At 36.6% G+C, this 27,986-nt stretch overlaps 1 long non-coding RNA gene across 1 annotated transcript; it reads right to left on the bottom strand.

Moving 5' to 3' along the window:
- Positions 1-260: 260 nt before the first annotated feature.
- Positions 261-23,575, bottom strand: LOC124900725 (uncharacterized). Its single transcript, XR_007058161.1, has 2 exons — positions 23,496-23,575; positions 261-417 (listed from the first exon to the last, which is right to left on the bottom strand). It is a non-coding gene; the product is annotated as an uncharacterized LOC124900725 (long non-coding RNA).
- Between the last annotated feature and the right edge of the window lie 4,411 nt (positions 23,576-27,986).

Here is a 27,986-nt window from a genome sequence, read left to right as displayed (position 1 = left end):
ACATGAAGTCTAATTCTATAGCCCACTCCCACATATAAACATACACACACACTCAGAGTAGCTGCATAGCCATGGTCAAACTCCAAAGCCTTATTTTTGTTCTCTGTAAAAATGGGAGTTATAACTTTTCCTCTGGTATGCTTTGTTGTGAGAAGAAAATAACACACGCATGACTATGAATGTGAAATCATTACACAAATATAATTATGTGGTAAGTATGTCAAAATAATGCACCTTAATATACAAAAAAGCCTAATGAATGAGTACAAAAGTATTTTAATCAGTTCATTGTGTCTTAGGGAAATGCAAACAGTAAAGCAAATAAAATTAATCATCTTCTTTGTTTTTCGTGGCAGAAGAGCTTGGTCCAATAGCTTTTTACAAGGTTGATATGATTCTCTGTTGGTATTTCAGCAGCTGAAAGACAGTTACAGTGAATATTTGTGGATTATAGAATGAATGAAATTTATCTACCTTATTTTGAAGGACAACACTAAAGGAAAGGAAGATAATTAAAGAAGTCCATCTGCATTTTCAACCATCTTCTTCAAATAGTAGTATTTTTGTTGTTGTTGCCAGAACTATATAAAGGTAACAAATGTCACCAACGTGTCATCTCTTTTGGCTCTGATCCATAATGATAACCTGTCCACTCTCTAAAAGAAAGGGAGTTCACTTCAGGTTTCCATATCAGAATACCTTTATAGCAGATACCCTCATTCCATGGTAGTTAAAGCTATGTGTCTTAAAATAACTTCACCCTGATTGAGTTAAACTTTGCAGTGGCTAAGCTGCAACAAACTTCAACCCATTTTCACCTCAGTTTCTCCATTAGTAAAACCAAGATACAACCTTCTCAACTTTGTTTTCCTCATATATGATTACTTTTTAAAGTTTTAAAAAGTACTTTCAGGCCTCTTTACTTACTATGTACTTTGATTTGTTGGAGAAAGATAAGCAACAGTACTGTATGTTTACTATAGCAAGTCATATTAGTAAAAGTTTTGAGCATGGCTAAGATTAAAAATTAAAAAGATTACATGTTTTAAGAAACAGAAGAATCATAAAGAGTCTTTATCAGGCCGGGCACAGTGGCTTATGCCTATAATCACAGCACTTTGGGAGGCCAAGGCAGGTGGATCACCTGAGGTCAGGAGTTCGAGACCAGCCTGGCCAACATGGCAAAACCCTGTCTCTACTAAAAATACAAAAATTAGCCGGGCGTGGTGGCACATACCTGTAATCCCAGCTACTGCAGAGGTTACAGTGAGCCGAGATCACGCCACTGCACTCCAGCCTGGGCAACAGAGTGAGACTCTGTCTCAAAAAAATAAAAAGAGTCTATATCAATGTGAAAGATCACCATGGGTTTGTTATTAACATTTGAAATTGCTATTAAGAATTTGTGGCTGGATGTGGTGTCTCATGCCTGTAATCCTAGCACTTTCAGAGGCAGAGGCAAGAGGGTCATGTGAACCCAGGAGTTAGAGACCAGACTGGGCAACATAGTGAGACCCCCTATCTCTACCAAAGTTTTTTTTTTTTTTTTTTTTTTAATTATCTGGGCCTGGTGGCCTGAGCCTGCAGTCTCAGCTACCCAGGAAGCTGAGGTGGGAGGATCATTTGAGCCCAAGGGTTCAAGGCTGCAGTAAGCTGTGACTGCACCTACTCCAGCCTAGGCAACAAAGCAACACCCTTTCTCAAAAAAAAAAAAAAAAGAAAAGAAAAAAGATTTGTATTACCTTTTTATTTATTAATAAGGCAGAGGGAAACTCTTATACTATTCCTTTGCAATTGTTTCATAGTTAATATACTGCCACTGAAAGCAGGATTGTTAACTAAGCAAAACTCTGGGGGACTCTTCGGTTGGAGGTCCTTAAAGGGAATCACAAGAAGCTTATTACAGGAAATGTTAATGCTGAGAAGCAGGAAATACTAAGGTCCTAATATGAATTGACACAAGATTCAAGCATCTGACAGGAAGAAATCAGCACACATCTAAGCATCAGCACTGGCAGCTGCTTGGGTGAGCTATGCAGCATTATCCCTCTCCAGCAGCACATCTGACCCTAGAAGATAAAGCATGCGAGCCTCCGTGACATGCACAACGCTCAGAACACTTCCTGGCTCTGCCACCTGGAGCAAGTTTCTTGACCTCTCTGGACCTTAATTTCCTCTTTTGCAAAATTGAAACACCAATAACCTCTGCCTCAGAGAGTACGGTTTCAATTATTGCTGTGAAAATTAAGGTGCTAATGCCTATAAACAAAGCAGTATTGTCAGTTTCTGGGAACTTGTAAGCCTCACGACCATTAACTATCAAAACAGAATCCCTCTTTCTCCCCCTTGGAGATTCTGGAGGATATCTTTTTGGAGGAGAGAGGAATTCACATTTCAACGCAAGTCAACGAATGTATCTAAATGGGCTTTCCTTTCCTAAGTCAGATTTCTTCAATCCAGTGAAAGATTAAAAAATGCTATTTAATTTGAGTGGTAAAAGTCACAAGGTGCTTCCTTTGTCATAAATATCAGAGATAATGTCATCAGATGACATACAGTAAAATGACAGGCCTCCATTTTAACAATGGTACACAAGGTTTTCAGGCTAGGAAATAATGATCTCTGGTGTCTTGTCATTACTGGAGTGATGACTTTCTGGTACCTGCATTATGTGTTCTACCAGCAAGTGTAGCCATATTTCTTCTAGATAACAAAGGTGCCTGTCAGGTAGTGCCAGAATGAAGCCTTAGAATGACACTCCATTTGTCAAATCAGTATGTTACAAAACACATTTTTCTTTTGGGGATTTCCTAGCCTGTCTACATATTAAAGCTATATTAAAGAGTCCCTCTTGTGTTTGAAATGGAAAAAATCAGACAAGAGCAAACATTTTAATAGCAAGGGAGAGATTAGAGTTTTGATGAAACACACATAATCCTGTGCACACTCATATTTTACTTGTTGCTTTTTAGTATGAAGGTGAAAGAGCAACTGGACAACAGTAGTCAATGGTGTAAACTTAATTTGTATTTTCTTTTATTTTGGTTTTATTTCTATTTGAAATTTATATATAGTAAAAGTCATTCTTTTTGGCATGTGGATCTGAGTTGGGACAAATGCTTAGTCATGTAGCTGTCACCACAATCAAGATCTTAATTTGGTTTCAATTGGCACTAAGAAATATGTAACATAATTTGAATGATAAAGTGTTCCTGGCCCAGTCCTTCAAATGGAAAACATGAAGAATGGGGAAAAATATCAGAAGTTCTGTCTTCCAAGATGTACTTCTGTCTTCTGCAATGAAGCATTCACTTCTCACAACTTTTTTGATTAATTTCTTCCCTTTTATTTACTTTTCTAATATCTGAGCTTAAAAGCCATTTTCTCACGAGAGCCTTCCCTGACTCATCCCCTACCCCAAATCGAGACGAATCTACACCTAAGTTCTTCCATGATGTGTTTCTAAGTATTCTCTTCTTTTTAAAGTATCCTTGATTATCACAATTTTATCTATATACATTTATATATATATATATATATAATATATATATAAACTTATAGCTTTTATTGGACTATTTGTCTAATGTCTGTCTCCCACACTGACTCAGCTAAAAAAAAGAGTTGAATGTTGATTGGTCCTCTATTCTCTCTAAAGAACATCATTTGTTTTAACAATTCTTTTAAGGTACTAGGTTAAAAGAAGCCTAATTCTTGTCATTAAATTTTAAATTAACCACCCACCCACTTCTCTGGTAATTAGATAAAAGCTGTGAGAAGTAAGAGTCAGAGTGCATAACTGCAAATCAACAGTGTGATTTATAAAGTATGTAAATGAAGTTAAATGTGGAACCTTCTTTGTATGAACTTATTGCCCAACTAACAAATGACACAACATCTGCCTCTAGTCTCACTCCGTCTAGAGTTAGATTCTACAGTCTACTGAACTTTTTAGTAGTTTTTACTGAACAATATGCTCTAAGCTAGGCTGGCCCACAAAATTTGGCCTGGGTTCGAAAACTGGCAAAAGAGGCAACTCAGACAATAGCAAAGGTTTCTTTCATTTTGCTTTACCATAGAACCTGCAAATAAGTAAAGGGCATGCATCACATGAATTTATGAAGGACTGTATGTGACTGCTTATTTCTTCCTAAGTTCTTCATATTGGTTGGTGTGTGCAAAGTATGTTGATTTAGTCAGTCCTTTAAAGTACTAATGGGGTAAGAGGAGCCAAAAAATAAAAATAAAAAACTGAAAAAACAAAAACATAACACTACCACCGTCTATGCTTTTTAGGGGGAAAAGGCCACACCAGCACCGAAGGTTCTATCAGCTAGGAATTCTTGCTACTCCACGATGAAACGCTCTTGAATTCTCTTGTTTCCATCATCATTGATATGTAGCAGCCCAGTCATGGCCTACTATGAACTTTATGCCATTGGAGACTCTATTTTGTTTATTATTTAATTGAATCCCCATTACCTAGCATAATGCCTGCAACAGATAATGCACTCAAAATATTTATTGCATGAATAAGCAAATGCACATATAAGTCAGTGCTAGTTCTGGCTCTGCCATTGATTAACCACATGGTTGGGCAAGTTACCCTCTCCATGTGTCAATCTCATCTATAAAATGCAAAATATGTAAAAGTTATTATTATTATTATTGTTATTGAGACAAAGTTTCCCTCTGTTGCCCAGTCTGGAGTGCAGTGGAGCCATCATGGCGCCCTGCAACCTTCACCTGCTGGGCTCAAGCTATCCTCCCACCTCAGCCTTTAGAGTAGCAGGGACTACCAGCTCCCACCACCATGCCCAGCAAATTTTTGTATTTTTTGTAGAAATGGGTTTTCACCTGTTGTCCAGGCTGGTCTCAAACTCCTGAACTCGAGGGATTCTCCCACCTCAGACTCCCAAAGTGCTGGGATTACAGGCATGAGCTACCACACTCAGTTAAAACCTTTTAAAAACTAGATAGAGGCCAGGCACGGTGATTCACGCCTGTAATCCCTGTGCTTTGGGAGGCCTATGCAGGCAGATCACATGAGGCCAGGAGTTTGAGACCAGCCTGGTCAACGTGGTAAAACCCTGTCTCTACTGAAAATACAAAAATTAGCCGGGTGTGGTGGCACACACCTGTGATCCCAGCTACTCAGGAGGCTGAGGCACAAAAATCACTTGAACCAGGCGGCGGAGGTTGCAGTGAACCAAAATAGCGCCATTGCACTCCAGCCTGGGCAACAGAGTGAGAGTCCATCTTTAAAAAAAGAAAAAAAAAAAGTCATAACATAAACAGGATCAGCAAGAAAATGTCACTTGTGCCTCCTCTTAATCTCAGGGTTTACTGATCATATTAAATTGATTCAATTAAATTAAACAATATTAAATGACAGAAAGAGTGTGTTTTAGTTCTAGTAATGCTGATTATTCATATATGGCTTTGGACATATTATTTAAATTGCATGAACCTTCATTTTCTTATATATAAACTTAGGATAATAATGAAGATATTTCTGATATTTTTCAACCTCAACATCAGATTATTCTAGTTTCTTCTACAGAATTTAATAAAAAATTAAATTCTTTATTTAAAATTATGAAAATTCTTTAATTAGGCAAAGCATGGTGCCTGTAGTCCCAGCACTTTGGGAAGCCAATGCAGATGGATCACTTGAGGTCAGGAGTTTGAGACCAGCCTGGCCAACATGGCAAAACCCTGTCTCTACTAAAAATACAAAAATTAGCCGAGTGCGGTGGTGCAAGCTTGTAATCCCAGCTACTTGGGAGGCTGAGGTGGGAGGATTGCTTGAACCTGAGAGGCAGAGGTTGCAGTGAGCTGAGATCACGCCATTGCACTCCAGCCTGAGCAAGAGTCAGACCCTGTCTAAAAAAAAAAAAAGAAAAAAGAAAATTCTTGAATTAATATCTTTTAACTGTCCAATTTCTAATGATTCTCTTTAAACTTAAGTGAAATTAATAAGTCCTCTAAACTTTATGATGAAGATACAATTCACAGAAAAAAATATTTCTGAAAAATACAATAGAGGTAGGTATAAAACAGGGAGAAACAAAGCATAGGGGGAAAATGATATCCCAGGAGATGGGGATCATTATGCTTGCAGGAGGATTAGTATAAAGAAACATGATCACAGCATCTACTAAATCAAAAAGAATAAGAGTACTCTAACTTACAAGAGTGGATTAGTCATCATTTTATCTTCCAAACTTTTCATTTTTGTTCTCTTTGAAACAACAATTTGGATTTAAGCAGAACAATTTTACTCCTCCCTGGACACAAATGACAGCTTTCAGTTCTGCAAAGATTTCTTTTAGCCTTTGAAAAAGTGCCAAAGATCCAGGATTTTTTCCAGATTTCAACCACATTTCTGACATCGTGCATCAAATAAGATATGACACATGGACAGAATGGGTTCCTAGAGGTATTTAGAAAAAAAAAAAAAGAAAAGAAAACCTACCTCTTTGTTACAAGAGTAAATCTCTCTTAGACTGACAAGACCAGGCTGAGCCAAAATATCTTTAAGTTTTTTCACATTCTATTTAAAGGATACTGTTTTTTTTTATTTGATGAAATAAAGTTGCAGAGAAGGTAGAGAACATACCATTATTCAGAGCAATTATATTGAGAAGCAAATTAGATATGGCCCTCTGGCCAGAAACTCATGAAGGACAGAAGAGTCGCTGAAAAAAAAGCTAGAGCTTTATATAGTCACAAATGATCCATTTGAGGAAGAGAAAGTTTAGGTATTTTAGACAAACTTTCTATTCAGTGAACTTTCTTAAGATCTCTGACTTTTTTAAAAAACTAGTAAAATAGGAGAAAAAGCACAGAAACAATGACAAACGTAAATGAGTGGCAGAAAGCAGTTTCTGGAAGATGAAGAGCAGAATGGATCAAGAAATGGAAAAGACAGCTACTTTTGAGGTGACACTAATTAATTTCTAACTTTCTTTTTTTAATTTATTTTTTTATTTTTTGAGACAGGGTCTTGCTCTGCCACCCAGGCTGGAGTGTAGTAGCTTGTCTGTAGGTCCTGCAGGCCTTGAACTCCTGGGCTCAAGTTATCCTCCTGCCTCAGCCTCTCAAGTAGCTGGAACTATAAATGTGAGACACCACACCAGCTAATTAATTTTTTTAATACGTAGAAACAGGTTCTCATTATGTTGTTGGGGCTGGTCTAGAACTCCTGGGCTCAAGAGATTCTCCTGCCTTGGCCTCCCAAAGTGCTGGGATTTCAGGCATGCGCCACCATGCCCAGCCAATTTCTAACTTTCTAATAAACATCTTCAACTAAATTTCCCAAAGATTCCTAAAACTTTGCATGTCCTAAATATTCCATATATTTTCCTTTTTTTAACTTTTATTTTAAATTCAGGGATATATGTGCAGGTTTGTTACATAGGTTTATGTCACGGGAGTTTGTTGTACAGATTATTTCATCACCCAAGTATTCAGCCTAGTACCCAATAGTTATTTTTCCTAATCCTCTCCTTCCTCCCACCCTCCACTCTCCAATAGGCCCCAGTGTGTGTTGTTTCCCTCTATGCGTCCATGTGTTCTCATCATTTAGCTCCCACTCATAAGTGAGAACATGGGGTATTTAGCTTTCTGTTCCTGCATTAGTTTTCTTAGCATAATGGCCTCCAGCTTCATCCATGTCCCTGCAAAGGTCTTGACCTCATTCTTTTTCATGGCTGCATAGGGTTCTATGGTATATATGTACCACATTTTCTTTGTCCAGTCTATCATTGATGGGCATTTGGGTTGGCAATCCTGTCTTTACTATTGTGTATAGTGCTGCAATGAACAAATAAATATGTGCGTGTGTCTTTATAATATAATTATTTATATCCCTTTGGGTATATATCCAGTAATAGGATTGCTCAACTGAATGGTAGTTCTGTCTTTGGGTTTTTGAGGAATTGCCATACTGTCTTTCACAATAGTTGAACTAATTTACACTCCCACCAACAGTGTATAAGCATTCCTTTTTCTCCACAACTTTGCCAGCATCTGTTATTTTTTGACTTTTTAGTAATAGCCATTCTGACTGCTGTGAGATGGTATCTCATTGTGGTTTTGATTTGCATTCTCTAATGAGAAGTGACATTGAGCTTTTTCTTCATATGATTGTTGGCCGCATGTATGTCTTCTTTTGAAAACTGTCTGTAGTTTTGATGAAAACCTGAGACAAAGATTGGGTATATTAATATATATTTTATTTGGAAGATTACTCTAAGAATCAGGACAAAAAAAAGAGCTTTCAGAGAATGAAAGCAGAAATGGAAAAAAAAAAAGACAAAAGAGGCACGAGTGGGGTACATTATTAAACTGGTTAACAGCAACAGCAACTGGGGCTCAGATCCACTGGGACATATTGGGCTCCCTGTAGAAACTGCCTGAAAACAGTATCTGAGTAGGATGGGGAAGTAGGAGCAATGATCCATTGATTCCTTTTCCTCCCACTTCCAGGCTGCATCTGTGTGTTGGTTTGGAATACGTGTGCCTTAGGAGAAAGCCCTGAAGTAGGAAAGCAACAATGCACATCTTCTCATTAAGATGGGACCCTAGCAATGTGCATGGAACTGCTTACCAGAGCAGTGCTGAAATCACTTGGGCAAAGAAGAGATGGTGCAAAGCACCACAGTGTCTATTATAATCTTTACTTCAGATTGCTCCTCCCCATATATATTCACATTTTGTTTTCTGTGTGTTTGTTGTTGCTGTTATTGAGATGGAGTTTTGTACTCTGTCACTCAGGCTAGAGTGCAGTGGTGCGATCTCAGCTCACTGCAACTTCTGCCTCCTGGGTTTAAGCGATTCTCCCGCCTCAGCCTCCCGAGTAGCTGGGATTACAGGGGCGTGCCACCACACCCGGCTAATTTTTGTATTTTAGACATGGTTTCACCATGTTGGCCAAGCTGGTCTCAAACTCCTGGCCTCAAATGATCTTCTCACCTCAGCCTCCCAAAGTACAGGGATTACAGACGTGAGCCACCATGCCCGGACTCACCTATCTATTAATGCAATCACCATTACCAAGTTGTGCAAGGCAGAATGCTTTGAGTTATTGTGTACATCCACATCCCTCAATCCCTCACATCTATATCAATACGTTTTGCTGTTTCTGCTTTTTAAATAGTAGTAAATAACAGTTAACATAAAATTTCTCATATTACCTACTTTCAAGTGTATAGCTCAGTAGTGTTAAGTACATTCAGAGTGTTGTGAAATGGATATCCAGAGCCTTTTGATCTTGCCAAACTGAAAATTTATACCTAAATTTTATCCCTAAATAGGAGTTTAGCACAACTCCTATTCTCCCCTTTCCTCAGTTTCTGGTAACCACCATGCTACTTTCCGTTTTTTGTGAATTTGACTATTTTAGATCTCGTACACGAGTAGAATCGTATTTGTCTTTTTGTGAGTAGCTTATTGCATTTAGCATAATGTCCTCAAGGTTTATCCATGCTGTGGCATATGACAGATTTCCTTTCTATTTGAAGTCCAGTAATATTCTACTGTATGTTCATTTTGTGTATCTACTCACCCATTGATGGACATTTGTATTGCTTCTACCTCTTTGCTATTATGAATAGCACCACTGTGAGCATGATTTATTTTAACAGGTAGGTATATTTTTCATGTAGTGGTAACCATACTGTATGTACAATATAGTTCCTTTCTCATTTTAACATAGTGTACATCATCAAATTGAAAATGGATAATGGTAAAGTCCTGCATTTAGGCTAAAAAACACAAGTTGCTCAAACACAAAATAGATAATAGAGGACTCAACAAAGCTGTGTTGAAACATTCAAAATTACAATACAACACACATTTGCTATACTATCAGTGTAAATCTCCATTGAGATAAGTCTTCTAAAAATCAGTTGCAATATTGGGATGCTTTAAGAAAGATATAGATAAATGTCTCCAAAGCAGAATAACATATCTTAAACTGGAACCAGAGAATGACAATCAACATGCTGTAAAGGATCTGAGAATGTTTTCTTTGTTTGAAAGATGTTTAGCCTAGAAAATAAAATATTTGGGGGGACCATACCTTTTCCTGTAGATATAACTTTTTGACATTTACTTAGATATATTCTCACTTTCGATCCAAATATAAAAGTGTGTACTTCTAAAATAACAGAGGCCTTATTGCCATAACTTTATTAAAGCTGAATAACTACTAAAGTTGAATAACTATTAACAAGATCCTTAGTGATTAATGTATGAAAACCAAGGGTTTCTTGGGTATAAGTTTGTCTGTGACTAGAAAATGAGCATACAATTTTCAAACCACAAGAAATTTTAGAAGCAAATATATTTTCATGTAGTTATGAAACAGCACAGATTGAGCTTTTTTAAAATGATTTACATTTTTAAGTATTAGATAATTTAATTTTAAAAGAAATGCAAACTTATTCAAACAAAAGAGATGTATATTTTTAAAAACATGAACAGTTAGCAGTGTGTACTATCCTCTTTCATGTCTTTTCTGTGCTATCCCCAAATATATATTTGGATTGTTAGTTTTAAGAAATTGCATTTTGTAATACACATAGTTATGCATTCCTCACATAAAAATATACCAAGGGCAAACTGGATCAATACATATGGATATAGTTCTCTTTCTTAAATACTTGCCTTCTGTTCAATAGAGTTACATAGAATAAATATATATACATTTTATAATTATTCAAGTTGTTTCCAATAACTTTTTACCATTTGTTTACAATGCATTAATATACATTGGTACATTCAATTGTACCAATGATTGTATTTCTGTGGCATAGATTCCTAAAACTGGGATAGATGGGTCAAAGTTTATGTATATTTTATATTACAATATGTATTGCCAGAATCCTCCTCAAAAAGCTCTCCACAAACCCCTTGAGCAATGCATGAAACTCTTGACTCCTCACTTCTAAAGCAACATGGCTCTTCTAGATTTTATAATTTCATAAAAGTGTCTTCAATTATTTAACGAGCTTTGCAAATGAGATTAGACTATTTTGTGTCACTCAGAACGTAGAACTAGTGTAAAGGAAAGTAGCTTTTGGCTTAGTATAATTTTTCTAGCATTAGAGCTACTCATTAATGACATAGACTGCCTTATTAATAAGTTATTTTACTATTTTGGAGGCTGTGCATTGGAAATAACCTTTCTATTAATCATCTTCATACTTACACTATAATTTATTGTTTCTATAGAACATTAATATATTTTGATTTCCATTTATCTATGGATCTCCACTAATCTGTTATTTTATAGATATACATTTTAAAAACAATTTTGTTTTAATTTATATTGATATAAATAGAAAATTTACATTAATCCCAAAATATTCTCCCATTTTCTCTCTCTCTCTTTCACACACACATCTCCATCTTCTCCTTCGCACTTTGGAAAAATAGAATATTATGGGACACATTATTTACCTAGAAGTGTGTAATACAGTTACCAATATCCTAATTAGTTATCTTTTACAGATTATTTACCAACTTAATATTCATGTTAACATGTAAATGCTTAACTCAGGCATACCTGTAAACATAATAGAGAGCTCTTTGTTTTGATATATTTCTATTATCTTAGATAATATCAGTGATGCTGGAACTAAACTTTTAACCACCACATATTCCTCCCTCCCTCCCCCATAACTAAATTTTGGTATGCCAATCAAAGGAGAAGACTTTGAAAACAAGACAATGGAATAGTTTAAACTAAAGGTTAGAATTTATTTTAATAGAGGCTGCAGGTCTTAGCCAGGAAAAGAAGGTATTAGAACAGTAAACACCACAGACCCCAGAATTTGATGGTAAAATATCTTGGCAACAATAAGAGTATACACCATCTCAAGGACAGATGACTTGATATTTCCCAGATGTCACTGTTTAGTGTGTCACTGTCCAGCAGCAGCCACTGATTAGAAAAAGTCCTTTCTCCTCCTGAAGGCGCATGGCCGGCATTGAAGGCAGTAGGGGAGATGTTGGCAAGGTACCGGAGCAGGTGGCAGCAGCAGGTGTGATGGGCTAGAGATGACAAGGGCACAGAGTGTGCTGTTGGCAAGCTGTCAGTAACCAGAGTTCAGGAACTAGTGATAGCAGAGAAATTGCAGAGACGGTGACATGGGGATAAAGAAGCAGGACAGGACAGACTGTCATAGCAGGATGATAGGTACCCCGCAAACAAGCACAAACAGGGAACGTGATGAGAGTGGAAGTGGTGGCCTGCAGCCCCAAATTGGCTTGGGAGGATCATACCATGATGACAGGGAAGCCTGCAGTACTCCAGCAGACATGAGAGTCACCCAGAGCTTATATGCCAGAAGGCAGGTGATACACTGCAGCCACCATGGAGAGTGGAAAACAAAGAGAAATGAACCTTAATGATATTTTATTTTTCATTTATTGTTGATGCTTTGCTCTTTTTCCACTCAGGGGACAATAATCCAAAAGGAGCCCTTGGGCATCCACAAATACTCTAAGAACCCAGAGTTCTTAGCCTAGAAATCAGAGATTGAACATGTTGTTAGAGCTCCAATTCTATAGCCATGTTAAGACCATATATCAAGATGTTTAATTACAAATGATTGTAAAGTAATTCTGTCATATGATTCAACTGAGTAAATATTTACTGATGCCTGATTGCTGCATTAAACTTCTAAAAAATAGCAAGTCACTAAGGACTCCTGCAATGCAGGGTTTGGGTTCTGCCCTGACACTATGTAACAGTACAATGTGCAGACATTTTAATTCAATATGATGGAATTCCATCAATATTTTATTATGTTTGCCATGACAAATTGTCTCACACAAGAAGGTAGTCCTCAAGGAGGATAGTATTCCAAAAGTGTCAGACCTGCTCAGGGGAGGGTTGAGTCACAAAGCAGAGTTTAATTTCGGTACCTTACGATAAGTTTTCTGAGACAATAATAATTTTAAAGGTGACGTTTTTAAAATCATCATGAAAAAAGTTTTCAACTTGTAATGACAAAATTTTTTAAATGTATTAAAAGTGTTTACTAAAATAATAGTACCCAGGTATGATTCTGGGTGCTAGAGATTTGATAATAAATAACAATAACAACAAAACAACCATGACCTTTATGAACTAAATTCCAATAGAGCGAGGCAAATGATAAATGAACCACTTAAAAAAAATTTGGCCTGGCACAGTGGCTCACGTCTGTAATCCCAGCCCTTTGTGAGGCCCAGGCAGGAGGACTGCTTGTATGCAGGAGTTCAAGACCAGCTGGGCAACATAGCATGGCCCCGTCTCTATAAAAAATAAAAAAAAATAGCCAGGCATGGTGGCACATGCCTGTAGTCTCAGCTACTTGAGAGGCTGAAGTGGGAGGGTTGCTTGAACCCAGACGGTTGAGGCTGCAGTGAGCCATGACCGTGTCCCTGAACTCAGCCTGGGTGACATAGCAAGACCCTGTCTTAATAGAATAGAATAGAATAGAATAGAATAGAATAGAATAGAATAGAATAGAATAGAATATTTTTCATAGTAAGCAGGATGGAGATATCAGGTGGGAGGAGGAAGTGTTGTTAAATAACAACTGGTGGTCAAGGGAGGCATTTTTAATAAATTGCCATTCAACAGAAAAATGGAAAGTGAGGAAGCAAGTTGCACAGCTATGGAGAGAAAAAATGTTCTGGGAAAAAAAAAAAAAAAAAAAACATGCTTGATGTAGTCCAGAAAGAACAAGGAAGCCAATGTGATTGGCAAAGAGTGAGAGAGAACAAGACTGGTACAAGAAGAGGTCAAAGGAAACAGTGATCATTATCATGTGTGATCTTATAGATAATGGCAAGGATTGCAAATTTTATTCTGAAAGATAAGGGAAGCCAATGAAGGGTTCTGAGCAAAATTACATGGTCTGAATTAATTTTCAAAATGATCTCTCTGGAGTTGGGTAGAGGATAGACTGTACAGGACACAAGGGTGAAAGCCAGAAGTACTATTAGGAAACTATTGAAATAATCCAGTCCTAAGAGAATGCAGCTTTGACTGACGCATTTGCATTGGAGGGGATTGAAAGGTTGGATATTGGATACATGTTGAAGACAGAGCAGCAGGAGTGGCTGATAGATAGAAAGTGTACAGTACAAAAGAAACAGAGGAAGATAGGAATGACACCAAGTGTTTTGAATTAAGCTACTTTGCAGAATGGGTCCATTAACTTAGAAAGGACAGATTGCTGTAAGAATAGGTCTGGGGGATAAAATTAGGAGTTCTGTTTTGGCTATCTATTAGGTAAACACGTGACAATGTTAAATAGGTGTTGATTATAAAAGTCTGGAGTTAGAGAGAAGTTGATCCTAGAAATATAAATTCAGAAGCCATCAGCATATAGATGAAATTTAAAGCCATGAGACTAGATGAGGTCACCCAGGAAACTAGTATAGTTAGAAAAGAGATCAAAATATTTTAAAGTTAAGCCATGAATAAAATGAAAGCAAGACACTGAAAATCCCCAGCCAGTGAGGTAAGAGACAAACTGAGAGAGGTGGCCAGCAACCAAGAGAAGAAATTATTTCAAGAAGCAGGAAGTGATCAATCATGCTAAATGTTAATACTTGTCAGATGAGAAGAACTGACCATTAAATTTGACAACATGACATACTATTATTGTGAGTGATGAGAAAGTTTGGTTGAACTCTCTGAGCTCAAGAGAGAGCAGGAAGAAAAGATTTGGTGATTTCTAGAGCAGAAAATTCTCTCACTCATTCATGAATTTTGTTGTTTATGGGGATCAGAGAAAGGCAGGAGGTAGCTAGAAGGAAATATGGCAATGAGAAAAATATTTTTAAAATAGGAAATATCAACAGTACAATTGTATGAAGGTAGAAATGATTCGATAAGAAGAAAACTTGGGGATGTAAAGGAGGAAGGGGAGAGGTGCTGGGGAGGGGCAGGTTTCAGTACAGGGTTTCTTTGCCTTGGCACTACTGACTTCCTGGACCCTCGACCAGACAATTCTTTGTTGAGGGGGCTCTTCTGTATATTGTAGGATGTTTAGCAGCATCTCTGCCCTCTACCTACTAAATGCCATAATCACCTGCTCCCTCTCATTGAGTTGTAACAACCAAAAATGTATCTAGACGTTTGCCCTTTGAGGGAAAAAATCACTCCTGGTTGAGAAACACGTGTGTATGACTTGCTCTTAGGTAAAGGTACAGAGAGTCTGTCTATCATATCAGGAGGAAAAGCAGGGAAATGGTCATGGATACTGGTAACCTTGAAGATGGAGTAGTGGGAATATATGAAATTACTTCTGATTGTTTCTGTTTCATTTGAGAATGAGAATGGAAAAAATGCACTGGAGATTGGAGAGGAGAAGAGCAGCATCTAGGAGAGTGGGAGGGTGAATAGTCTAGGGAGATACAGTTGGATTGCCAGAGAGCTAAAGGTAATGGTAATGAATTTAAAGTAAAAACCAGTCAGTATGCTTAAGGCATTGTATCTATGGTTGTGGGTGGAGGACAAGCTCATCAGAGGAAAGCAGATTGAAAAAACTGAGAGGCAATCATACTGAAGGATATACAATATGGATATGGAAATAATTATGAAGAGAAAGAACAGAAATAATGAGGGAGAGAGAGAAACAGGAAATAATAATTGTAAGAAATAAGGAGATCTGAGCATCTGTATTGTCCCCAAGAAGGAAGGTAGCAAGTGGTAAAATCTGATGGCAAGAGGTCTGAAGTTGGGGGTTTTAGGAAGAAGTGAGGGACAGTAGTCTGGAAGAATACTTACCCCACTTCTGGCCTAAATTGCATAAGGAGCATGAGAGAAACAGCTGTGACTTGAGAGGTCTGTAGGGGAAGCATGATCATTGAGGCAGAGCAAGGATTAAGTTAGGACAAGACGATAAAGGGGCATTTTTAAACGCCATTGAAGATATAATGGATTTTTCTCATGAGGAAGTGAGTTCCGGAAGGCACAGTGGAAAATGAGAGGGAAGAAGGGGAAAACAAGGGTTAGATGAGAAAATGCTCAGAATTATGTGGAGATGAGAGACTTCTTATGATGATGTAGTAAATTGGAATGTAGGGCATGATGGGATGAGTCCTAATGGTTTCCTGAAACAGTGTCTTTAAAACAGTTTGCTTTAAGCAGTACATTGTATGTGGCTTCCAGTACACACTTTCACCAAGTAATACTTAAGTTAGGCATGTGTCATACATTTGATATATTCTGTTTTCTTTTTTCATCTGAACTATTCTCTGTAAAATGTTTTAAGTTACTGATTTGATTTCACAAGCCACTAATAGACGATGCTTCGCAGGTTGAAAAATATAATTTTAAACAGATTGTGTGCAGGTGAAATTGTGAATGGTTGGGGAAATATGCTTTTTCCTTAAACGCTTTTCACTAGTGGGAAACTAAGTACAACTCTCTTGTAAGGAATAAGAATTTCCAAATCTACAGGTGTGAGCAATGTAATTTTTAAAATTTTACAATCGAGTAAACCTGGAGGGAGGAATGGAAAACCTAAGAGTGACTCATTAATATAATTTTTGCTAATCCAACATAATGAAGAAGCAGAGATGTAAACTCAATGTTCATTGTTCTCTAATTCTTCATTATGTCAGATTGACCAAATATCAGTCTCTCTTGGTTTTCCATCCCTCCCTCCAGGTTTGGGGCAAGCTTAAGGTAATTTAGGGGACCTCGATTATTAGCCATTTGTTAATATTGATTGCCACTGGAATGATTATTGTTGTCCTAAACTATTCCTTAACAATTGTTAAACCTCTGCTATGTGTGTGCTGTATCTGCAGTAGGAATGTGCCAGACACTGTTCTCTAAGTATTTTTCCTCTCTGACAAACCTACCAGAGTTTTACAGCCCCAAGATATTTCTTTCTTCATATATTTGCCTCCTGACCAAACACTCCTACAATGTCAGAGGTTGTTCTTTTAGTTTGTGGGTGGAAGTTACTTTGTGTGTTGTTTTTTTAGTTTCTGCTGTTGAGTCTTTAAGTACCCTGCTGATATCTGGGAATCCCCTTGTCCCATTGTCTTCATCCACAAACCCTCTAACTTCTTCTAAGTGTTAGGGTTTTAACTACAAATCCCAAAAATATTGTATGCTGCTCTTGTTTCTACACAACCATATAGTTTCTCTAACTCAATAAAGTGAAGAGTCAGCCACTTGCTTGGATGGAGATCATGGAAAGAGGAAATATAGGGCTAAAGGAATCTAAATTAATAGCTCAAGCTCTTATTCAGCCATATTAACAACCTATTTGTCACTATTTCTAATGGTGAGACATTTCTAACAAGGACCAAATTTGGAAAATTGTAAATACACTTTTCTCATTTATTTCTGTGAGCCGTTCCTCAAGCTTGCCCAAAATATCCAACTGCCTGAGTATGGGAAGCAATGGTAAGGATTTATAGAAAAGACGAGAGAAAGAATGAAGTAATACAGCTGTCCCCCCGCCTCGTCCATGGTTTTGCTTTCCCCAGTTTCAGTTACTCATGGTCAGTCCTGGTCCAAAAATAGTAAATGCAAAATTCCAGAATAAGTAATTCATAAGTTTTCAATTGTATGCCATTCCAAGCAGTGTGATGAATCCCATGCCTTCCTGCTCCATCCTGCCCGGAAAGTGAATCATCATTTTGTCCAGCATGCGCTCTGTACATGCTATCTACCCTTAATCACTTGGTGCTTGTGTTTGAATAACTCTTATTTTATTTAATAATGGCGCCAAAGCATGAGAGTAGTGATGTTGGCAATTCAAATATGTCAAAGAGAAGCCAAGTATATGCCAACCAGTGGTTGTTAATCTCTTAATGTGCTTAATTTATAAATTAAACTTTATCATAGGTATATTTGTATAGGAAAAAACAATGTAGCATATACAAGGTTAAGTATTATCTGCAGTGTCAGGCATCCACTGGGGATCTTGGAACATATCGTCCATGGATAAACAGAGATCACTGTATTTGGTTTCTAACATGCAAAATGGGATTAGGCAGCAGGATTAATTAACCAGGACATTGTCTTGATAAACCAGGGTATCTCATCCTCAGCACTGTTGACATTTAGAAATGAAAATTTTTTTGTTGTGGGGTACCATCCTGTGCCTTGCAGGATGTTTAGCAGCATCTCTGGCTTCTGCCTAGTAGCACTGCACCCCAAATTGTGACTACCAAAAATGTTTCCAGAAACTGCCAAATGTCTTCTGTGAACAAAATTACCCCTAGTTAAAAACTACTGTGATAGAAGGTTTAATAAATTTCTTTAAGTTCTATTTAAGCTATCAGGCCAGATCTGAAGGACTTTATGATAGGATCTCCCCTAGAACGGAGAAAAGACTCCTTTCCCCTAGAGTAGCTAAGCCATAGAAAAAAGGATATAACCTAAAGATAGGGAAACATGTACAACTAGGCAAAATTCTCCCCCATTTTCCTTATAGCAGTAAAAATATTCTTTTACTTTTGGTCCTATTACTGTAGTCTGGAAATAAGTCTAATTATTTATTTAATTGCTACTCCATTTAATAACACTTCAGGTACTTGAAGACATGTCCTTCAAGTTCTTCTTTTTGAATTAATCATTTTTAATGACATGCTAGTGAATTTTTCTTGTGAACAATTTTCATGGGAGGCCAGGAGAATAAAGTATAAGATGTCTTTATCTCTGTGTGAATTAAAGCAAGAATATACATCCTCAAGGCATCTTTAGGCTTGCAACAGACATGCTTCTTAAGACATTAACAATTTCCACAAATATTGGATAGAACAGAAGAAGAATTGTTTCTTCCATGAATGCATAGTTTTTTGTTTGTTTGTTTGTTTGTTTTTTGGGACGGAGTCTTGTTCTGTCATCCAGGCTGGAGTTCAGTGGCACCATCTTGGCTCACTGCAACTTTTGCCTCCTGGGTTCAAGTGATTCTGCTGCCTCAGCCTCCCTAGTAGCTGGGATTACAGGTGTGCACCACCACACCCGGCTAACTTTTTAATATTTTTGGTAGAGACAGGCTTTCACTATGTTAGCCAAGCTGGTCTCAAGCTCCTGACCTCATGGTCTGCCCACCTCGGCCTCCCAAAGTGCTGGGATTTCAGGGGTGAGCCACTGCGCCCGGCCAATGCATAGTTATCTTACACATTATTGGCGTCACACCAAAAGCAGAACACTTCCTTCTAGTGTGCATTTTGGCAGTAGAAAGCCAGAATCCACCATCATGACTCTTAATATTCAAGAAGTATAAAAGTTTTGGAACTGCCTGGGGCTGAGGTTGCCAGTCTCCCACCTAAGCCCCAGTATTAATGGTCAGTGTGACCTTTACTCAGTGAGTTTAATATCTGATGTTTCTTCTTTTTAACAATAATTGTATCTTTTAGCCTTTATTCTTAAGCTGTAACATTAAGAGTACCACATGGAAAAATAACTCAATAATGATTTAAAAAATTCCAGTAGCAGTTATGAGAAATTAATAATGGGGGCAATAATAGAGAGAATGTGCTGGAAAAGGAGTTAACAGTCACAGACAGGAAGGTAGGGGGTTTGGAGGTGGAAAAAAGGTGGGGTTGACAGGGTGGAGAGAAGTAGAAAAGGAGCAACAACAGGAAACTAGCCAAAAAGTACAGGGTATGAACGTGCTTTCTCCCTCTTCTTTTTGGGAACTGATGACTCCCAGTCAGCTATACCAACTGGAAGGAAAGAGCAGGGAGGGAGAGGGTATGGAAGGACCTGAGAGTAGAGAAATTGAACACCTGAGAGAGGAAAAGGAAGGAAAATGAAACCACAGAGAGAGGAAGATGGGTTTTAAAAAGTATTCCAGCTATTGGTGTGTCCCAGCTAAAGTTATGGAAAGTTAGCAGAAGGAAAATAAATCTGAATTTAAAATAGAAATTGGTCATCAGAATAAAATTTAAAGAAGGCAGCAAGCAGTGAATCTTTGTTAAAATTTACCTAAGAATAGATAGCTGAGGATCTAACAAATTATTTAAGTATAAGGACATATTTATATATTATGTATCATGTAATTATAGATATGTTATGTTATATGAAAATAATTTCCAAGAAAGGTCAACAGGTGACACAGTCAGAATACAACTATGTTTAGAATTCTGTGAGCTATTCTACTATGTAAACAGGGAATGTTGATTCACTTGACTAGAAGTTAAGTTTGAACTGTTCTCCAAATTCTCCTTGGATTTTGCGGTAGTAAGAAAAAATATTTTACAGTAATTCTGATTTCAAGAATGAGTATATGTAATTTAAATTTTGAAGGAAGGTAGTATATAAAATATTTTCAAGAAAATTGGGGCTGACTGTACATCTGGAATTACAGGTGTAATTCCAGCACTTTGGGATGCTGCGGCAGGATGATTGCTTGAGTCCAGGAGTTTGAGACCAGCCTGGGCAACATAGAGAGACCCTGTTTCTACAAAAAATAAAAAAAAAAAAATAGTTAGTCGGACATGGTGGTATGTGCCTGTGGTCCCAGCTATTTGGAAGGCTGAGGCAGGAGGATTGCTTGAGCCCGGGACGTCAAAGCTGCAGTGAGCCACGATCATGCCACTGCACTCCAGCCTGTCTCAAAAAAAAAAAAAAAAAAAAAAAAAAAAAAGTGGGGCTTGGGTTTGGTTTTGTGATATTTTTGGTTTTGTGTTTTATAACATCAAAATGCTAAGTCTGCTTAGCACCAGAGGCCTCTACAAAAGAACTGGACCTAATTACTCAGCCTCCTTTTTTCCTATGCTCTACATTAACCTAGTATAGAACACAGGGCAAATTAAAAATATATTGTAATAAAGAATCATTTATTTTAAAGTTAGTTGTGATTATAGATTGTGACTAGCTGCAGTCAGCTACCAACTCAACTGGCTGTAATGACTCCAAAATGACTATTTTATTTCTTTACCATGAAGGTTTGATATTCCCCGTTAGAGGCTTTTAGAGGGGAAACTAAGGTATAATTTCCAAAGAAGTTCTAATAAATGTTTAAACCTTAAGATGGAAGAAATGAACATGTTAATATGCTATTTAATGTATTATTTATTAATTTTAAGACTAAAAAATATTTGTAGATCAGTTCCAGGGTTGCCATGAAGATCAAATTTTGAAATATATGTGAAATGTTTTGGTAACTATAAAGCACTAAAGAAATTTAAACGTTATTATTATTCATATTTCTCCTGAAATGAGTCATTGCAGTTGTTCATTACTGATACTTCAACTAAACAAGAATGTTAAATGATAAAATACAGCTGAAGAAAGAAAATTCAGTTCCTGCATATTCAGGGAAAAAACAGGAAGTTTGGTGAGCACTGTGAAAGCGCTATAAAATGGAAAGCAAAGAAATGTTTATCAAAGTTTCAAGAGGCAAAACATTTACTACTGTTACTTTTATAAGGAGACAATCACCCACCCAACATGAAAGTGTATTAGATTTATTCTGGGTTAAAAACTTATGCAGAAATAACTTGTATTTGTAGGACATATTTCAGAAAGAATAATACAAAACAGACAAGCAATAGTTTTGTTGTAATGTACAATGTTAATAAATACTTTTGAAAAGATTGGAAAGTGTGATAGACTGCTTCATACAGTTCATATGACTGGTGAATAATAATGCTAAAGAGAAATTAAGTAAAATTAAAACACGGCAATATAAAATAAAAGGTCAGTAAGCAGTGGAAACTAGCAGTAGAAAGTTAGTGTCAGATGTGAAGGAAGAGTTTCTGGATAAAAGCTTCTTGAAAGAATAAGGGAAGAAGAGAAGAAGTAACACAAAGCAGAACGGGTTTGTCTCACTGCATAGGCAAGCCAAGTATTGGCCTGATTCTTTGATTTCAAGAACCTTTGAAGTAGGGTCAAGTTCATGAGCATGCTGTCTGTGCAGTGTCACGGGTCCTAGGCTCAGAAAGACCTCATGTTAGGTTTAAAGCTCTTCCATTGCCGTCTTGAAATTTTAAATAAATTTATTTATAACTTATGTTTTGGAAATGAAATCTAATGGTACAATGGAGCCGAGGAGTGTGCACAGGAGATATCTCAATATGAGTATCCACCACTATTCCTTGCTGCCACATTTATATATAGCATTTGTGATGCCCCATGAGCACAGAATTCCAGTGGACTCACAATGCGTAGTAAGTAGTTCAGTGAGAAAGGTAGTATGAGGTCAGTTTGTTAAATCTAAGATTGACTAACGGTAGGGTGGGGATGTAGGGGGGACTTGCTGAGGTCCCTGGGATGCCACCCTTTCAGTTTCAACTAGAACTTGTTTGGAATGCAGAAAGAAGGCAATGGTGTTGGGCTGCTTTTTTCGTATTAGCCAACCAGTTATGTTGAAAATAAGATCAGAAGAAAAGGGAAAGATAGGACAGGCCCCAATTCCTTTTGCTTTCCTTCCTTACTTATCAGTAAGCCAAAAGTAGAATGTATTGGTAGAATGTGTATCCTTCAAGAAAGGAAAGAAAAAACATGTTAGCTTTGTGCAGATTTCTACTGTTCTGGTAACAACAGAATACATACAAAATACAAAATAGAATTGTATAATTTTGGTGATTCTGCATACAGGTTAAATGCTCTTATATTTACATCTAAAACTGGCATTGCACAATATGAAGATATGCTGTAAAATTTCTAATGATCTTAAATTTAAAAAATTTTCTACTTAGAACAAAATTAAATGCTAATGAAAAACAGTATAAGTTGAAAGAGAAGCAGAAATAGAAGAAAAACCCTTATATTTGGATATCTTTAATGGTACTTTTTTCCTTTTTTTTTTTTTGAAAAGGAGATCTCACACTTTTATTTTGCACTGGGCCCTGAAAATTACGTAGCCAGAGCAGTCTGAGGAGTCTGCACCATTTCTCAGCTGTAACCCGAAATACCCTTTCACTTACAGGGACCTCAAATTCTGTTAAGAAAACACAAAGCTTATCATTCAACAATTACCAAGAAGCTCAAAATGCTAAAAGAGATGTAATACAAATAGCAGTGGACTTAATATTTAAAAGAGTGATTAAGTTCTAGCACTGTCACCATGTGTATTTGGGAAAGTTATTTACATTTCCTAGCCCTTCACTGCCTCCACTGTAAAATGGGCTAAATTATCTACCTGTAAGTCCCCTGCAAGCTCAATGGAATCTGAAACTAAATCTGTATTAAGCACATAAAAATGGCTAGATTTTAGAACTCTTTACAGATTTTGAGATTATTAGAGAAAAAGACTCTTGATATCTGAAAGGGAAAAGAATTGGGGCTGGAGGAGATGAATTGTTTCACTTTTTCACAGGACCAGTTCTACAATTAAAATCCTCAAGTAAAAGTTTAAGGAAGAAGTAAATGGAGGATAGAAAGCACTACTGTGTATTAAACACCTGCTGAGTACTGGACACTGTTCATGTTATTCTTCTAATTTCTCACAACCAGCTCATAAAGTATACGTAATAATTGTCATTTTGAGAACAAGAAAAATGAAGCTTACGGATTAAATAAATTTCCTGAAGTCACATTGTTAGTAAAGTGGCAGGATTTTGAATCTCAGTTCAGGTTCCAGCAAAGATTATATTCTTTCCACTACAATAGAGAAAAAAATGTTTTTTAGAGAGACTGAATGAAAATATAGAAATAAAAAGTTCAAAAGTTAAGTGCACAAGTAACATGGAGAAGGAAACTCATATGCTCATTCTGTTTTAGCTTTCTTAGGTGATAAATTAGGAGTCACAAAACTACAGGATATTAACCGCATTATTGATGATATAATTATATAATTTTAAATGTTTTGAATAACAATTGAAATGAAAATATATAAAAATCAAAGTCAAAAGAAAATGTAAAACTTGTATATACTTTTTGGTATTTTACGATACTCATTTTGAGTGCATATTCATGTTACCTCAGAAATGTTTTAAAACTTAGGGTTAATTAGAATAATAGCTATAGTCATTTTGATTTCATTGAATGATATTAAAACAGCCTGATCGTGTTGTTACTTTTTTTAAAATTGAAGTAACTATCTCATCCTGCAATGTTTTCATTTATATTTCTAAAATCTGTTCTTTGTAAACCAGCCCAAACCAATTATGTTAATTTCCTAAGAACACTGGTCAATTGGGTTTCCCTCTAGCCTTTCAATCCTATAATCAATGCAAAATATAACTGGAAAAGTTAAAACATCTATAATTTTTAAAAACATCGATAATTTCTTCATTTATGGTCCAGTGGGAAAATAAGGCAGAGGGAACTGCTTGCCTAAATTCTCAAACGGAGTCAGGAACAAACTTCTAAGTCTGGTGCTTCTTGTGTTACACTGATAATTATTTCTGCTTGCTCATTCACTTCCCAGCTATATATCCTGTGACCCAATCCTGTCTGGTTGACATTCAGAATATTCAGGTGAGCCAAATTAGCCATGATCGAGTGATGTCGCACATACTTATCCTTTGACTTATCCATTCCTTGTGTCCTCAGCAACACAGCTGTGAACACTGGCAACACAATAGTTATTTATGGCTAAGTTACGCAGTCTTAGTTTGCTGCTATAATACTTCATGAAAATTAACTTTTTTAGAACTTTGAAATAAAAAAATATTTTAGGCTTCCTTATTTGTAATATACAGCAATGTTACTTAACCAAACTAACTCACTGTGTTGTTCTGAGGTTTGAAGGAGATAATACGTGAGGAAGGCATTTGTAAACTCTAAAAGAAGCATTTTAACATAAAGCAATGTCATGGAAAGCCAACAAAATTACACAGCTTACAGCTATATTTAAAATTATAAGCTTTCTAGAAACTATAGTTTATGTATTTCATTGGTTTACAGGGATGAGTGAAAATTGATATTTTCTGACAGTTTGAAGAAAAATAAGCTTAGATAAACATCCTATTGTACTATTTCCTGTGGTCAACAAATAGTCTCTATTGGTCTGCTATGTTCTTTCTCTGTGTATTTAAGCTAAAATCTCTCAATCCAGAAATAAACATTTTATTCTGAAATCTTCTATTGACTATTGTATCTCATCAGGCTAACATCTCTTTCTCTCCTTTCTTTCATTTTCTAAGTCCACTGTCTCCACTTCCCTCCTACCCATTCACTTCTCTCCTTGCAACTCTTCTCGCAAAACTCAGTGATGACTTCCTAATTGCCAGATCTGAACATTTTAAATCCAGCCTTGATATAATCAAGTTTTATTGACTATTCAATCTTTCTGGAAATGTTCTTCATCCTTATTTGCCAAGGCACTCTCTCATAATACTCCTTGAAGAAGACTCTTTGCATCTTCCAGAAATTCTTGCTTGACTCCTCTGCTTCTTCCCTCCTCCAAGTGCAACTTTTCTCTGAAGCCCTACCTTAGTCCTCTTCTCTCCTCCATTAATCTTGATATAATATAGTGAGAAGAACTGGCTTCGGTATAACACTAAATTTTCCTCTCTATAAGGATGATATATTTCTTTATTTGTTTAGGCTTTCTCTTATATTTCTTGATAATGTTTTATAATTTTCCTATTAGAGATCTTGCATAAATACTTTTTTCCAGATATTTGATATTCCTTGATGTTCACTTTGATTATTATAAAAGTGTCTTTTTGTTCATTACATTTTCTAGCTTTTGCTGCTTGTATGTAGGAATACAATTGACTTTCTATATATTGCTCTGAAATCCAGTCATTTTGCTAAACTCTTCTTTTCATTCTATTCAATTATTTGTGGACTCTTTTGGATTTTCTATGTACATGTCTATAGCTGACTAATAGATTAAGAATAGTTAAGATACTTCTGAAGAGTAAGGAAGAGGAATTTGCTCTACTAGATAGTGGGATTTACTGTTAAGACGTAGTAATTAAGACTGTGCAGTAATGGCCCAGGCAGAGATAAATGAATCAGTGAAACAGAATAGAGGGACCAGCAGCTTGTATGCAAATATAGCTTATGCTCAATCCAATTCTACTTTCATTTCTAAAATACCACTGAAACCACTTGTAAGATCCCTAATTATGTCAACTTGCTAAATATAATGAACAATTCTCAGTCCTGGTTTTTCTTCCCTTTTCAGCAGCACTGGCACAATTGATCATTACCTACACATGGAAGCACCTTCTTCACTTGGCTTCCAGGATACCACATTGGTTTGCTTCCTAAGCCACTAGACACTGCTTTCCAGTTATCTTTTCTGGTACCGACTTATTTCACCAACCTCTTACTTTTGTCATAAGGACTATCTGAAGGCTTAATCATTGGTCCTCATCTTATCTCTAATTAAATATTCTTTATTGATGAATTCAACAACTCTCATGGTTCCCAACATTTACCTATATGCCCATGAATCCAATCCATGCTTCTATATCCAATTGCATATCCACACTTGAATTTTTAATAGAATTATAAACTCACCACGTACAAATTTTACCTCCAGTTTCACTTCCCAAACCTGCTTGACCTGAAAACTGCCCCTTCTCACTCGATGGCAGCTCTATTCTTCCAGTTGAACAAATTAGAAACTTTGGAGCTATCTTGTATTACACTTATTTTTGCTCATGCTCCATGTCCAATCAGGAAATCCTTTTGCATCTGCTTTTAAAATATATCCATCTTTAGTGTCCAGAAAGTAATCTCTAAATACTATTCCTTATTAATAGAACCATGTCCTTAGAGACATGGCTGATTGAAGGTCTGGAGCAGAAATTCTGCTATGTTGTTAAACCAGAGTGCAAGGAAGCTGTCAAAGACCGTTAAAGACTTAGGAGCCAACTTGAAGGCATAGCTATTGAGAACACTTATAGTAATTTCTCATCAATAAGAATTATATACACAGTGGACTCAAACCTACCAAATACGTTTATATTACCAGTTTATTATGGTACCTCAAAGAAGCACACACACACAGTAACACACCTTGGCCAGTCATCTATAGAGGATGCTAGCAAAGCAACTCATTATTTTGAAAACTGGTAAAAATAAGAATGTGAGATCAAGTTTTATTTTCCTGTACCTCAAAATGATCAAATAGTTAATTGGGGAAATTTTCTTCTCATGCAAGTTTTTTGTACTGCCTCATAACCTCTTGCTTTACTTTCTGTTCTGGCCATTACTTAGGACTGTTTCAGGTAGCTGTAACCTAAAAACACATTGCCTCAGCTGTACCACTAGTCTCTTTCTGTTTGCTCTGGGGAGACTCAGTCACTTTAGTGTGGAACACTTGCTGAAATCTTCCTGGCACTCAGTACATACACAACCTAGAATAAAAAAAAGTTAATATCCCATAAATTGGCCACTGGCTAGTGGAGGACCAGAGCCAGAGGATAAATTTGCCTCTTCTGTCCTTGAAAAGAAATGTGTGAAGTACATTCTACACAGGTACTCTGGAAATCCAGTAAGATTGTATCTCAGGTGCCCACAATGGTGGCCAACTCAACAGCATACCATTCTGTTGGCTTTCTCTCCTTCCCTCTTTCATTCTTCCTAATCTTGTTTCCTGGAATCACTTTTTATAATAAATTATCAGCATCCAAGTCTTTGTCTCAGGCTCTACTTTCTGGAGTAAATGAAGAAAAAATAAAAATATTCCAGCTAATAATTGAAGAAAAAATGTTAGAAGAAGAAAATCCCCATTTTTAAAATATCTAATGAAATACTGGGTCAAGGCAGTAACCAGAAATGGTCATTACCATTCCTAAAAGAGATAACCAAACATGTGGCTGCTGATAGGTGTTCATAAAAACCATCTATGAAGAATTCTGGTCAAGTCTCTAGATATTTAACAGCCAATTAACAGGAACTAAAGTTAAGAGAGGAACACGATTTAATGACACTATAATAATGTAATCAGAAGAAATCCAGGATATACGAAATTTCATAGGACAAATAGCCCAGTTTCTTTATAAAATAAATTGCAAGGAAAAAACTAAAAGGAGATTTGTAGATTTTTGAAGATTTAAGAGACTTACAAATCAATTATAATTTAGTTATTAATTCA

This window comes from Homo sapiens, chromosome 4 (assembly GCF_000001405.40).
Source record: "Homo sapiens chromosome 4, GRCh38.p14 Primary Assembly".
In the NCBI taxonomy this organism is placed as follows: domain Eukaryota; kingdom Metazoa; phylum Chordata; class Mammalia; order Primates; family Hominidae; genus Homo; species Homo sapiens.
Note: the sequence above shows the minus strand (reverse complement) of the source record. Positions and strands in the feature narration are given on the sequence as shown.